This window comes from Homo sapiens, chromosome 3, assembly GCF_000001405.40.
Source record: "Homo sapiens chromosome 3, GRCh38.p14 Primary Assembly".
Lineage (NCBI taxonomy): Eukaryota > Metazoa > Chordata > Mammalia > Primates > Hominidae > Homo > Homo sapiens.
The window spans coordinates 19,269,941-19,285,299 of record NC_000003.12 but is presented as its reverse complement, the minus strand read 5'-3'; the positions used below and the strand labels follow the sequence as shown (position 1 = coordinate 19,285,299).

Here is a 15,359-nt window from a genome sequence, read left to right as displayed (position 1 = left end):
CCATTTTGACATCTCCAAATGCGAATGCAATGCTGGGGTCAGAGTGGCTGCTCAATAAATATTTTTTGAATTACTTAATATATTATTAATCCACTTTTAAACTTACATTAAATTTTAAATATAATTTTTAAAATGAATTTAATTAAATTAATTTAATTTTAATTAACTAAAAAAATTAAAGCCCCCTGCTGAGGCTATTTTCCTTCACTCAAAGGAAACAATTCCCTCTGAACCACTCCAACCAAAGGCCCTCCGTTCTCAGCCCTGTGAATGTTTTTCTTAATCCTTCCCCACCATCGAGGACCTGGTGTCCAAAAAAGACTTTGCCTACCCTGGCTTCTTGTACTAAGTAGACATTCCCTTCCTTTCTTTTTCTTTTCTTTTCTTTCTTTCCTTTTCTTTTCTTTCTTTCCTTTTCTTTTTTTTTTTTATAAAAAGGACATATTTAACTGCCAGCCAAGATTTCTGATCAGCAACAAAAGAACCTCAATTGCCAAGCTGATTGACATATAAATCCAAATTTTATATCAAAGTATTTCCTAACTGATACCGAAAGATATAAACAGGGCCTCGTATTAAATTCACTCCATAAGTAACACTTGACATGAACATAGAAGTAAGTGGTGTACACACTATTTTTGGAATAGAAGTAAACTATGTGCCAAAAAAGAAGGTAGTTTTAAAGGTGGTAAGAACCATCAGAATCCTGCTGAAGGCTGTCTCTCTCTTTCTCTCTCTCTCTCCCTCACACACACACACACACACACACACACACACACACACACACACACCAGCAGATCCACCAGCTGAAAGCTATTGTACATACAAATAGTAGTTTGAATTTTGTGCTCATCTTCCACCAATGCTGTCCATCGATAAAAGGCCTATATTATATCCCACACCTCATTAGCCACTTCTATAAAACAGGTTCTTCCTCATTTAAATAAACTCCCCCAAAACATAGAAAAATGATTAAAGTATTTTTAATAGAAGTCCATGCCATTTATATCTCTTAAATGAAGCCCATCATGTGAACCTCAGTATTAATTAATTTAATTAACATGAACCTTATTCCTACAACTTAGATGAACTTTAGTGATGCATTTGCAGAAGGTGCAACACTGGGTCATGTCATGCACTCATTTAGTTTTTTTTAATGTTATGACATAATACTGCTACAGTTACATGGTGACATTTTAATAATCAAACACTTATTTGGAAGCTTTAAAAATATCATATGTTAAGGTGTGTCTTTCCTGCAAGACATGCCATCAATTGGTAAATTTTAAGGTGTTTTTCTCCATTAAGGGCAGGTAAAAATATTTTTTTTTCTTTTTCTTTATTTCTTTTTTTTTTTTGAGACAGGGTCTCACTCTGTCACCCAGGCTAGAGTGCAGGAGTGAATCACCAGTCACTGCAGCATTCACCTCCTGGGCTGAAGTGATCCTCTCACCTCAGCCTCCCAAATAGCTGGGACTACAAGTGCGCACCACCATGACCTGGCTAATTTTTAATTTATTTTTTATTTTATTATTATATTTTTTTTGGTAAAGACAGAGTCTCCCTATGTTGCTCGAGTTGGTATCAAACTCTGGGCTCAAGCAGTTCTCCTGCCTTGGCCTCCTAGATTGTTGGCTATTTTTAATTATCATTTTATAACCATAGTGACTTACAACAGTTACTCTGTCTTTCTAAAAATACTACATACTTCTATGGGACATTTATAATAAGGTAGCAATAGAAAAAACTGTTCTTGAGTGTTCAGTATATATTAGAAGTAATATTTTTATATGAGATAATGTTGAGATAAATATATCTAGGGACTTACTAGCAAATATTTCAAAAAATTAAATCATATTTTGCACAATATAATTAATGTTAAAAGTGTTTTGTTGATATTTTTTATTTAAATCTTGCAAGAGATAGTCTTTACATTGTACATGTTCCCTAAGCAAAATGAAAATATTATTGAGCACAATTTAATACATGTATTGGAATACAAATGTTAACACCATTTTAAGATAGAATTTTGGATTACTTTGTTATTGGTTGCACAGTGTTCAAATTGATGTCCTTCACTTCCAAATGACAGGTGTAATCTTTCAAGTGCCAGCAGCTCTACTAGTGCGACATGCTAGCCTCTCTCTGCTCCTTAACTTAGCTATTTCCGGGAAAAGAAGAAGAATATAATTTGATTAAGTTTGGAAGGTGATATGGACATGTATAGGATGACCCCTTTGTCTTCTCTCTCTTTAGGGAGCAACTGTTCTGCTCTGGTTCTCCAGACATTAAGTTACACAGTGAGAGGCTCTGCTTTGTGACTGAGGGGCAACTTTGCCTAAAACTAGAGCTCACTAGAAGGAAGCCCACTTGGAGGTAGACATATTTCATGTTTTCCTTTATTAGTTTCATCAAAAATAAAGGTGATATTTTGGTCTCCAATCTACTCATTTTTCTTTTTCAGCTGATTCAGAACGTGGATGGCAAAAATGAGTATTTTTATTGAGCTCTCTCAAACTCTAAATGAAAAGGTATACTTCACCGCTGTTATTCACTGCAGTCCACCAAGATGGGGATTTCTCCCCTAACACGAGACATAAGGAACATGAGACAAAGATAATTAAGGAATTTGTATAAAACCATTAGGCATGGTCCTCATATTCCAAACAAGTCAGTTAAAGGTTAATCAAACTGCCTTCTTTCAAGCAAAAAAAAGTCATGTATTTCTTTCTAAGGATTGTGTTATATTTCTATTTATCCACACATATTTGTGAATGTACATAATATGAATATATACTTACATGTTTGAATAATTTTATTCAAAGGATCCTTACCTTTTGTGTTTCTATCTTACAAAGAAAATATTAAAAGCAAAAACTATACACACCAATTTTCATACTTATCTTTGTGGAACTTACATTGGACAGGTACTATGCTTGCTCTAAAATTCAAGCAACTTTAATTTTAATATGGCTCTTCCCTTGCATATGTAAAATACACTACATAATTTAGTCATGCCAATATACAGCAAAACAGACATGCATTTGCAAGGCTTTCAAATGCTAGAAGTGAGAGCACCAAACTATCATATCTGTTCATTTGGGTTGTCATTTCAAGAAACATAATGTATTGAAAACAATCACACACATTTTAAAAAAGAGCTGGAATAAAAGAGTCCATTCCTAAAAAGACATAGCTGTTGAAATGTCAAGTAGCTGATTCTAAAAAAGAACTTACTACATAGAAATCCACAAAGGATAATTGCTTTTTCTCTGGTGACTAGAATCCTACTTTGGTTTAAAACAAATAATATCAGCAGTTTTTCAGTGTTAACTTTTGTCAGCTTATACAAAATGCAAAGAATTTCTTAATAAATTATAACCAGAAGATACAAGGTAAACAACACAAATTCTCAGACTCCTTTAAAGATAACTGAAAAGCTTGTTTATGTCTTAAAACCAAGTATTATATTCTTATATACAATAAGGTACAGGATTCACATTTGTTTGCAACATTCTATTCTAACAACCACTAAGCTAGAGTTCTTAACTTTGTACATAACTACACTTCGCACATCTAAGTTTTGAGCTACAGCAATCTAGAGGAAATGGAGAGATGTATTTTAAATCACATCCTCCTAAAGACACTTATCCCATCCATTAATTTTTGCCTAATACAATGAAGTGGTGTTAATCCTTACATTGTGATAAACTGTTTTCTCATCCTCCTCATATTAGCATAGGAATATGAACTTCTAGTTCCTGTCAAGTGTGTCTTTATTATAAAGACGATAGAATGTAAATGCATGTGAGTCTGTGATTTGGAATATGCACCAAATGCTGACTGCTAACAGTTACGAATATTTATCAGTTGCTGTTATTAAAAATGCATGTTTTTCTCCAAGAGTTTTTAAGTAAACAATTTCAAAATGTTACTCCATCTGTCAATGTTTTCTGAAAACGGTACAAACCTTCTTTTTTATCTTCTGGAGTAATCTTCACTTTTGTATCTGTTATATCTTTGAACGAGGCCAGAAAAAGTACTACATCTCCTTTTTCATTCTTTATGGGAACAATATCCAGTAGGCACCAAAATGGAGACCCTGCAACAGTAAAGAAAAAAAAATACAAATCAACCATTGCCTTGTGTTATCTCTATGGAAATCTCAATCATCAATAAAAAATAAAGCCCTTAGTGTTTTCTTCAATCCCACAACTCCCTCCATCTTAAAAATGTCAGTTTTCAGGTTCCATAAATTTCTATCCTATATACATCTCTCTTCATTCCAAAGGAAATGCTTTTTCTGAAAATAAAGAAGTATTTTAAACAAAAACACTTGTCTGTGCTGAGACATTTCTGCTTACATTATTCAAACTGCATTTCCTCTTTGAACTCGTTGATGCTGAAGCATTCCACTTTATGAGAGATTGCCCCTTCCCACCCCCAGCACACACTCGTTCTTCAATAAAGACCTTTGTTTGGTATGAGTTTGCCAGAGGTTTATTTAGTCAATTTAAAAATCAAAGCTTGCCCAACAGAATGCTAAAATAAAAAAGGTGAAAAGTATCAAGTTTTGGGGAGCGTGCACAGCCACTTAAACTCTCATACATTGCTGGCTGATTCAAATTAATACATCTACTTTAAACACAGGTAGTATTAAAATTTAGTTTCACAATACAACATTATACATCAGCGTGAATGAGTGACTTACAATCATTTGAAACCAAATAGATGAATATCACTAATATAATGTAAGTAAAATACGTAAACACAAATAGAATGCAATAAGAATTTGTTTACATTAAATACAAAAACAGGCAGAACTAATCTATGATGTTAAAAGTCAGGTTAACGGTTACTTTGGGGAAATTGTGATTAGAAAGGCATTCAGGTCTGGGAGTTGTAGGATGCTGGTCAAGTTTTGTTACATGATCTTTATGCTGTTTACATAGGAGTGTTCAGTTCTTAAATGCTTACATGTATTTTTCAGTAAGCATGTCACATTTCAAAAAATATTTGAAGAAGAAATAATCAAATTCCATTCAATTTTTGAGCAAAAAACCATGAGAAATGTCATTAAGATTCAAATTCAAAATATAGTAGCCAAATGGTACTGCCTAAAGCTTATATTTTCAATGTTTAAATATATTTTAAAATATGTATTTTAGAAATATGTAAAAAAATCTTGCACTGTATTTCCTACTGAAAGGCATTCTGGACAGGAATATTTGAAAATGATGATAAAGTTGTTGTTGCTTAAAAACTAAACTATTAATCTATTCATACATAATTTTCCTTCATTTTCTTTTGATGAGGGGAAAAAGACTTCAATACTGTGAATTCTTGTCTTATTTGGGTGTTGATTTCAAAGTCAGGGTATAAGACAAAAATATGAGGGTCAGAAATATCCCTGATATTTTGAGTTGTCTTGCATACACTGTATTAGACCTCATAATTTCCAACACAGCTATGTATTCATCCAGCCTTGGGATCTATCATTTTTTTCTGCAGTTAAACACCAGGTGAAGCCACTAATTTATATTTAGGAGCCATCTGATATAAAAGTCTTATTTTATCGTAGCTGCTGCTGTATTTGTTTAAAAGAATGGTTGGATGATGTATGATGTGCTGCTCTCATAAGTTACACATGGAATATAAAATATGCTCGTTCCTCTGTATTCTCCCAATAGTTTTAGAGTCATGATTTCCTCCTTATTTTTTTTTTTTTTTTAGCCCTATGGCATCCCATTTCATTCATCTGCCCCAATATCTATGCCATGGCAATCTCATTTCAATAGCTCATTACCAGGCTCTAGAAGACCTGGGATCTAACCATGGTTCTAATACTAACTAGCCATGAAACGATAGGGAAGTCGATTAACCCATCTGGAACTTGGTTCCCTTCATTGTAACATTGTCACATCCTTCACTCCAGTAGTGAATACAGTGACCCCAAAAATGCTGAGACAATAAATCAACTCAAGTGTTTGTGATTCATGGAGAAGCCTCATAAATGAGCCATACCCATAGCCAAACACTGCTATCCTCGTCATCCCAGAATGGTTCTTAATTGAAATTTTATCTATGGTCACCATTTCAGACTGGGAGCCTTTTTCAATGCTGTAGCTATGATAGAAACAAAAAGAGCCATCAGGCTAAACTAATAATCAGACCTTAGAGAAAGTAATAGTGGGGACACAAAGAACGGTATGAAATCTGACATTTTGGTTGACATTTTAAAGCACCTCTCTGTCAATTACCTTGCAAGAACATCACCAAATCATAACCGAGGCTATTAATTTTCCTGAAAATCTTCTATCTGTGTACTCAGACAAGTATCATTACTGTCTCCAAAGAGCCTTTGCATAGGTGCACCAATATATTTTGGAAAGAGCCAAAACCACATGAGGTGAAAACCAAGGAAACAGCTGTTGATATGGCAATATTCACTGATCAGCCCTTGAGGCACAGCCATCATTTCACATTATATTCTGGAATAACTGAAAGTTTACTTTGAGATTTGTCTTTTAAGTTACAGTGATGTGATCACTAACATTTTATAAATTCAATAAAACTTCATTACTTTGGATCTTTCTAAATTCAAGCTTTGGAATGATTTTACATGAACTAGGCTGATGTCTACCTTCCTAGTGCCTATATGACAAAAAAGTTTATGAGAGAAACAGTGTAAAGGGCATAAAAACTATTTCCTTCCTTCCCTCCCTCCCTTCCTCCTCCCTCCCTCCCTCCCTTCCTCCCTTATTTCCCTCCTTCCTTTGTTCCTTCCCTCCCTCCCTCCCTTCCTCATTTCCCTCCTTCCTTCCTTCCCTTCCCTTTCCTTCCTTCCTGCCTGCCTTTCTCCCTCCATCTCTCCCTCCTTCCCTCCCTCCTTCCCTCCCTCCTTCCTTTTTTCCTTTCAACTGTCCCTCCAGATTTATCCACACCAATAATCTTACGAATATTCAGGTATATTTATGCTTTTCTTTCTCAATTTTAGAAGAACACAAAGCATATACCAACTGCATTATCTTCTAGAAAGATAATAGATGCCAAAAGCTACCAATCATGTTCAATGCAAGACTCTTTATACTTAGCATGCTCGCTTATCCTTTGCTTCTCTGCTTTCCTAAATCTTTCCAGCAAGCCCTCCACCCTGCATTTCTAATGACACCTTTCACCTCTTATGAATGCAATAATTCAAGACTATTCTCCAGGATCTGGCTCTTCCTCTCTTACCTGTGGGCACAATGATCAACTCTTTCAGTCAAGAGCAATTCAGGCCCAGTGCAACAAATCTCTCTTAGGGTTAAGGTGGGAGGCTGCAAGTCCCACAGCCTCAAATTCAGAGATGTGAATGATAAGAGCAGAGTCAGAGGGCAGACATTTCATGAGAATTTTAACTCCTTCTTTATATAGCAGCAGTAATTACCATGTGGGTTGGAGAGTGTCAACACAGATGAGGCTCTGACAGGATTTAGGTTAATGACACCTTTAATTTCTATGGATAAATACAATTGTGGAGAGAAAACAAGGTTTTTACCTTATATGGAAAAATCTATTTTTGGAATTGAATAGTTACACAAAAGCTTAAATCTGGTGGAATGTCCCTTGTCTCCATTTTGGTACTTTCTTTTTCTTGATTGGGAAACAAGGATGCAGGATAATTTGACTTGCTAATATTTTTGTGTATTTCTTTTTATTGAGGTAAAACATACATACATAGTTTACCACCTGTGCCTTTTTGTTTTTTAAGAGAAAGTCTTACTCTATCACACAGGTAGGAGTGCAGTGGCATGATCACAGCCTACTTTAGAGTCAAACAATCCTGCCACCTCAGCCTCCCAAGTAGCTAGGACTACAGACGTGCACCACCACGCCTGGCTAGTTTTAAATTTTTCTGTAGAGATGGGGATCTCCCTATGTTTCCCACGCTGGTCTCAAACTCCGGTGTTCAAGGGATCCTGCCACCTTGGCCTCTCAAAGCACTTGAATTACAGGCATAAGCCACCATGCACAGCCCATCTTTACCATTTTTAAATATACAGTTCAGTGGTAATAAATATCTTTATAGATATTTTTCCCTTCATCCCCCTGCCTCCCCTTCCTAGTCTAGGGTAACCAACAGTCTACCCTCTATCTTCATAAGAGCCACTTTTTTAGCTCTCAAATATGAATGAGAACATGCAATATTTGTCTTTCTGTGCTTGACTTCTGTCACTCAACATAAGGGCCTCCAGTTCTATCAATGTTTCTTCTGCAAATGACAGAACTTCATTTTTTATGGCCAAATAATATTCCATTATGTATATATATCACACTTTATCCATACCTTGATGGGCACTTAGGTTGATTCCATAACTTGGATATTGTGAATAGTGCTGCAATAAATACAGGAATGCAGATATCTCTTTAATATATTGATTTCCTTTCTTTGGGATATATACATGGTAATGGAATTGCTGGATTATATGGAAGTTTTATCTGTGGGTTTTTGAAGACCATTCCATACTTTTCTTCATAGTAGCTGTACTAATTTTTGCTAATATTTATAATTATTAGAGAACTCATATGCTTTCCAGACAGCACTAAAATATATTTGTCAATAGATAAAAACTCATAATAGCTAACTAATAATAATGTTTCTAGTATGGGTTCATGGTTTAATAACTTAATACAAGGAGGTGCAGGTATAAGGAAAACTGAGTTGTGAGTGGTCCCACTCTCTTTAATGACTGTGCTGTCATGATGGGAAATAGTGCATTGCTCAATATAACACAATAGGTCAAAGTGAGATATGGACACATTTGATGTTCTCTTGTTTCTAATATCAAGCAGGATTTTGAATAAATTTTTAATGATAAATACATAACATCTTTACTTTTTGAAATTATAGCAACAATAACATAATATCCCAAGGGTTAAGAGCATCAGGGTTATGTGACCTAAACATTTCCAGGTGTTCCTCCTAGTTCACATTAAGTCTGATGAGTCTTGTTCTCTACAACCATTGTCTCAGTGCTACTTAATGATAAAATAACAGGCTTGCCAGTTTTTAGAAATTAGTCCAGAGAAAATACATACATGTATACACACACACACACACACACACACACACACACACACATATACATATTGGGGTGGGAGTGGGGAAAGAGCTGCAGGTGAGTAAACAAGGCTGCTATGAATTGTGGCTGGGTGAAGGGACACTCATTTCTTCAGCAGAAAGAGTGGGGCAGTAATTCAGTCCTAACTGAATCTACCAGAAAGCTCCAAGTTACCCCTCCACTTTATTATATTTGCTACTGTTTTGTTCGGTTTCAGTCATCTCTTGCCCACTTTTCCAAAGTATTCTTCCTGCCTCTAGTCTTCCTCCCATGCTACTGCCAACAACCTTTGACAATACAGGATCCCGATTAAAAACACCTGACGGCTTTTCACTGTTTGCTCAAATCAGCACAACATTCCAGACTCTAATCAATATGGAAAGTGTCTTTCAAGGGACTAGAAAATACGGGAATGTGATGGACGTGCAAAGAGGTGAACTAAAAAAAGGTGTCATGTTAAAAAGGAGGGGAATGTTCCCTGGAATACCCAAAGCTGCTTGGCAAATAAGTCTCTACAGCATCGTCACCAGCCCTTCCTGATGTTTGTACTATACTAAGAGATGAAAGTAATGGTTCTTTAGAAAACATGAGGTAAAAGCTTCACCTTATCTGCAGTGAACATTTCTTCCAGGGACCATCTATCTACAATGCAGCTCATATAGGCTGCAAGTCTTTGCTCAGTCCTCACTGAATTTACGTCGGGTCAATACCCCTCCTCCAAATGCCCCAGGATACTAGTGAGCCAAAGTAAATGGCACTGGTTTCCTGACTCCCTGTGTAACAGTGGAGGGCAGCGTGGGGGGTAGACAGGAGATGAACTGACACAGCTGGAGAGCTCCCTGAACTGGGTGGTGGCTAAGGATACCCTTCATTTCAATGTTTAATGAAAAATAAAACACACTGTGTTTTAAACTTCTTTTTGCGTTAAAAACAGATGGGTAGAATACGCATACTATATTGAGTTGAAAAAACACTGGCAGAATAAACATAAAATCCACAATGGTGGATTGTAAATTATGGTTTAATTTCCTTTTCTTTTCAGCATCTTTATTTTCAGGTTTTCTAGAATAAGCATGAAGAAATATATAGTAGGATTCTGTCAACTCCAGTGATTTGAGGTAGAGATGTAAAGAGTTCAAGACTGGAGCAATAAGAATGATGAGATCATATTTCTGGGGAATAATTTTTTATATATTCTTGATAATTTAAAATATGTTCTAATGGATACTTCCATTTCAAACTTTTGAGAAAAGTGCTATGTTAAGTCAGAATATCTGACTGAGAGAGAGAGAGAGGGAAGGGAAGGGGAGGGGAGGGGTGGGGAGGGGAGGGGTGGGGAGGGGAGGGGAGGGGTGGGGAGGGGAGGGAAGGGAAGGGAAATCAAGTTATGATTAACTGATTGAAACGTGTCAAGTTTTTAATCCTCTTTTCATTTTGATCCAAGTTACCTTTCTCCTTAAATAAAAGTACTTTATTCATTTCCCAGGTGTATGTATAGCCACCTCTCAGAAATCTCTAATAATTAGGAACAAGAGGAGCCTGGAAACTTCAGGTGCAAAAATATCCCCAAGACATGATTTAGTCAATACATCCAACATCCTTGCTCAACAAATTAACTGGGGTTATTGACCAGTAGAACTAATACTTGCTTTAAGAAAACCAAATTGGTTCCCATGGTAAACACAGATAATTCTTACCTACAGTTGAAAGGAGTTTCCATGTACAGTTAAACACAAATTCAGCAGCGATAGTTTTATAGTAGGAAATGGAACAACTGAGTACAGTCCAATGAGAACTGGAGATAAAGAGGCCCTGAAAACAACACACACAGCAAGGACCTAGTGATTGCTGTATTCTATTAAGAGTGTATTATGTGCTAACATTGTACAACACGTCTTGCATGTATTATATTTAAATTTCCCACTGATCAACCTGATCAACATTTTACTGCACTGAACTATATTTTACAATTATGGAGATTGAGATGTGTAGTATTTTCTTCAGGTCACACAACAGTCCTGTGAAGAAATGGAATTTAAACACAAGTCTGAGTTTGATTTTCTAATTTTGCCTTACTATTAATGTAATATTCTGGGAATGATCCTCTTCTATGGACAATGTTTTAAACATTGAGTTTCAAGTCAATTTAATTCTCCTTTCTACACATACTATAGGACACGATTATATACATGCTCTAAAAAAATCCTATTTTAAATGAAAAAAGTGCAGTAAAGCCTTTTTATAATAAAAAGAATTTCACTCTCAAACCAGGAATAAGAGTAGAACCACTATTTAAAACAAGATTCAGCTATTTTAGTTTAAGACTGAAAAACATCCTTCATTAAGGTATATGTGGCGTTAATTTTTAAATTTGCTTGAGTATCCAATGAGACTGGGATCAGAAAAACACCACTGGTGCTGCTGCCAGTCCCAGGTTGAGACAAAGAGAATGTACTTATACAAGCTTTGTGATTACAGTATCTAAGTGTAGTTACCTAAGCTGCTAACATATGAGGCACCATATTCTGACCTCATTCACAAAGCTGCTGCATGCTTCTGCCTCCCGGTATGTTTTTGCTTCTTGCTCTCTTAGGAAGCTTCAGAAATGGTGATCTGTATACCATGGCAGCTCTGTGTAGGATGCAGAGTAACATTCCCTGGATTCATCTGCTAAGACTGAAAATAGCAAAGAGAACTAAGCCCCAATTAATGTCTGACTTATGGCTCTATCTTTTCAATGATCCTCTGGAGAAAAGAAGGCCACATGTGATGGACAATTGGTAGTGAGCAGACAAATGTCTGATCTGACAGGTTTGGTTTCATGATTGCTACTTCTAAGCACTTCTTTGTGAGAACAAGGCACTGAAACAAACCCACTCTCTTGATACTTTTCTTTAAGAAAAGCAATTTAAGATTTCTTCAAATTTGCAATTGTTTAGTGAGAAATAACTTGCTTTAAATGAGAATTTGAGGATTAAGTTAACCCTCTCTAATTGCACAAGGCTTTAGTTGGAGGAATCTATGGCCTTTGCAGAGCAATGAGAATAATTGTTGGTTCCAATAAACATAACGTCTGTATGAACTCAACATTGTTATGAGGATCTGGGACTCTGGGATTATCTAGTTTAGGATCCAAAAGAAAACATTTGGAAATTACATTGCAAGCAATTGGACATAAAGTTATTCATTCATTCAGTGGATATTTATTGAGTGCCTGCAATGGCAGGCACTATTGTTAACTGTTTGGATACATCAGTGAACAAAACAGAATAGATCTCTGTCTTATCCCTGAAAGGACGTATATTCTAATTGGAGTGAAAAACAATAAATTATAAATGCAATATATAAGCAAATTATATAGTTTATTAGAAGGTCTTAAATGCTATAGGAAAAAAGAAAAAGGAGAGCAGGGTAAAGGAGAAATGTAGGAAAGTGTGGGAGAAGAGGCTATAGGATTGTAGCATGACATTCTTAAAGAATTATTCATGAAAATGCCACTTAATGTTGCTTTTGAATATTAATGAACTATTTGTGTGTTATTCCAGGTCTTCTTAGAAGCAAACTATGAGAAGACCATGATGCAGTTTTGATGTCAAGTGAAGGAGAGAAGAAGGAAGAAAAACTGGATGAAAGGAAGTGTCTAGATTGCAGCACAGTTCTAAGCAGTTCCTCATTTCCTAGGAACAGACCTGTCTTAGCAACCCTGCCTCACTCAATCATTGGCTAGAAGCAGCCCATGAAAACTTTGGCTGATCCGGTGATGCGTTTCAGAGCACCGCAGCTGGGGCCATCAGCCAACTACTCTCCTGTAATCACAGACAGGACAGGCACATTCTGAGGTGACATAATTAGTATAGTTTACCTCTCATATTTTTGGCAGAATATCATCTATGCCCCCTTCTTCTTGTCATTGTACCTCAAAATTTTACTGGGAACCAAACCTCCTTTCTGCATGCAGCCTTGGTAGAACCATCTGGTGCTCTGCAAACCCTCACTGGAGGAATGGGCAAACCATCCAAAATGAAGCAATCAGTCTTTCTCTTCTGGTAATTTTAATCTTGATTTGATGAATCCAAGGTCAAAAACAAAGGAATTACGTTCATTCAATAATGAAGCCAGGAAAAACCTTTCCAATTATTCTTGCTACCTAGAACTTACAGAACCCTACTGCTTTTTGTCTTTTTCAAGGTTCAGATTCTCATTAATTTATTTGATTTGATAAGTTATGCCATATATTTTTCAGTGAATTATTATTTTTGCTTAAGATGATCAGAACAAATTTGTGTTACTTCCAAAGAACACTAAATACAAAACTGTATCTTTAGAAAAGAAGGGTCAAGATGTAACAGGAACATGCAGGATTTAGATGGCGTTGCATGTGGTCAAGTCCCTGGATTCATCTTCTGAGACTGGAAGTAACAGTCATTTACTTTGCCATTTACTTGCTGAATATTCTCAGGTATAATTTTACACCTGTTCATACCACATCTGCATACTGGTTATATGGCTAATTCTCATGGTTAAGAGCTTTGAGGAGGCCAGGGTTAAGAGCTGTGAAGTATTATATGCATTTTAAATAGTTATATAAAGTAAGGGCTTTACCTGTATATGTAATGCTTCATTTATTTAACCATAAAAACAATCATGGACAATTATGGTTTAGTTTTAATATATCTTAAAGTTAGGTGGTGGTGTAAAGTGGATATTTGTTCCAATAATTTCTCCTTTGTGTATGTATGAAACATTTCATTGTTAAATGAAGGAAACACATATCATACTCCACTTTAAAAATGGAGAATTCAGTGTTTCTTTGAACATCTAACATAATATTAAGTTGAAACATACAAAGGCATTTCAGATTGCTCGAGTTAAAAAAGATCTTAAAGATGATGAGATGGAACTGTTTATTGTAAAGATGAAAATCATGAGTTCAGAGTGGTTCAGTAAACTGAAGTCAAAAATGCTAATTGTTTTAAGAGTTGGGACTAGACCTCAAATCATATGACTCTCAGTTTCATGAGCTTTCTGCCAAAACACAGTGCATTTCAACACATGTTAAAAGAAATTACCAAAGGAATCATTATCACAGGAGTGAATGATCTATTTTTGATATATTAAAAAGGAAATATTATGGTTCTATATATTGCTATTATTTTTTTGATAACATAAGCTAGGACATGTAACAAATTCAACTTTGACCAAGTCCTTTTTAAGAAATTAGTTTCAGATTTAGAATTTGTGTCTAAAAGGTTAGACAAATGCAGTGAAATGAATGAAAAATACATCCTATGTAAGAAAGCAGAAATATTGAGACGAGAATTTGGAAATAAGAAAAGAAGTAAAAAGAAATGGTTAAGGATCTCATGACAATTCTCCAGTGTATAAATATATGATTACAGTTTTAGGTGGCAATTTAGCACTTTCCAAGAATATGCAGACAACAAACATACTGAACATTTCTTCCATTGTGCAAACTCAACTCTTAACGAAGACTTGTGAACACTGTGCCAGATTGCCCTGAGTCACAACTTGGCAGACATGTGAGGCAAAACAGACATCTTCCTCAACTTACTGCTTCTCTCCTAAAATAAAGTGGGCACCTCACTAGAACTTGAGGCCAAAACCTGGTGTCCAGGTAGGCATCACTGTACTCAGACTACTCAGGTGAGGTATCAGCACCAATAAGCTTATCCTTGCGTTACTCACCAGACACCTGCTCTAAGACAGAAATCGTTTTGTGAAAAATAAATTTGTGCAAAACATTTTCCCATATGATTACAGGCATTTTCCTACAACAGAAAAAAATACATTTTGAGACCATATGTGTCATTAAGAAATGAAAATTCAGAATCCTTCTAAACTGTGAGGGTTCCAATTGGGTATGCAATCTAACAGATTTGGTTATTCATCTTCAAAGGTCAGCAAACTTGTTCTACAAAGGACCAGAGACTAAATATTTTTGGCTTTACAGAGCATATGGTCTCTGTCTCAACTACTCAACTTTGCTTTTGGAGTAATAGACAATACATTAAAAAATGAGCATAGTAAAACTTCATTTAGAAAAACAGGCATCCTGCCAGATACAGGTCATAATTAGCCAACATTTGATGTAGAAGCCTAAAGATTACTGTACACTAGGAATTAATTCTTGATTCTTTGGAGATTTAAGAAGACTATATACTACCAAAGTATTTAAGAAGCACTATTTGTTAGTGTAAAAATCATATAGACAGTTTTCCTTGAGAAGGAGCCTAG

At 35.6% G+C, this 15,359-nt stretch overlaps 1 protein-coding gene across 5 annotated transcripts in view; it reads right to left on the bottom strand.

Annotated features, from left to right (window-relative positions):
* Positions 1-15,359, bottom strand: part of KCNH8 (potassium voltage-gated channel subfamily H member 8) — a 387,133-nt gene that overhangs the window by 250,343 nt on the left and 121,431 nt on the right. For all 5 annotated transcript variants that reach the window (XM_017005698.3, NM_144633.3, XM_017005700.3 and 2 more), the window contains one exon: positions 3,971-4,102. In XM_017005698.3, the coding sequence (XP_016861187.1) occupies positions 3,971-4,102 (132 nt within the window). The remainder of the gene's footprint in view (positions 1-3,970; positions 4,103-15,359) is intronic.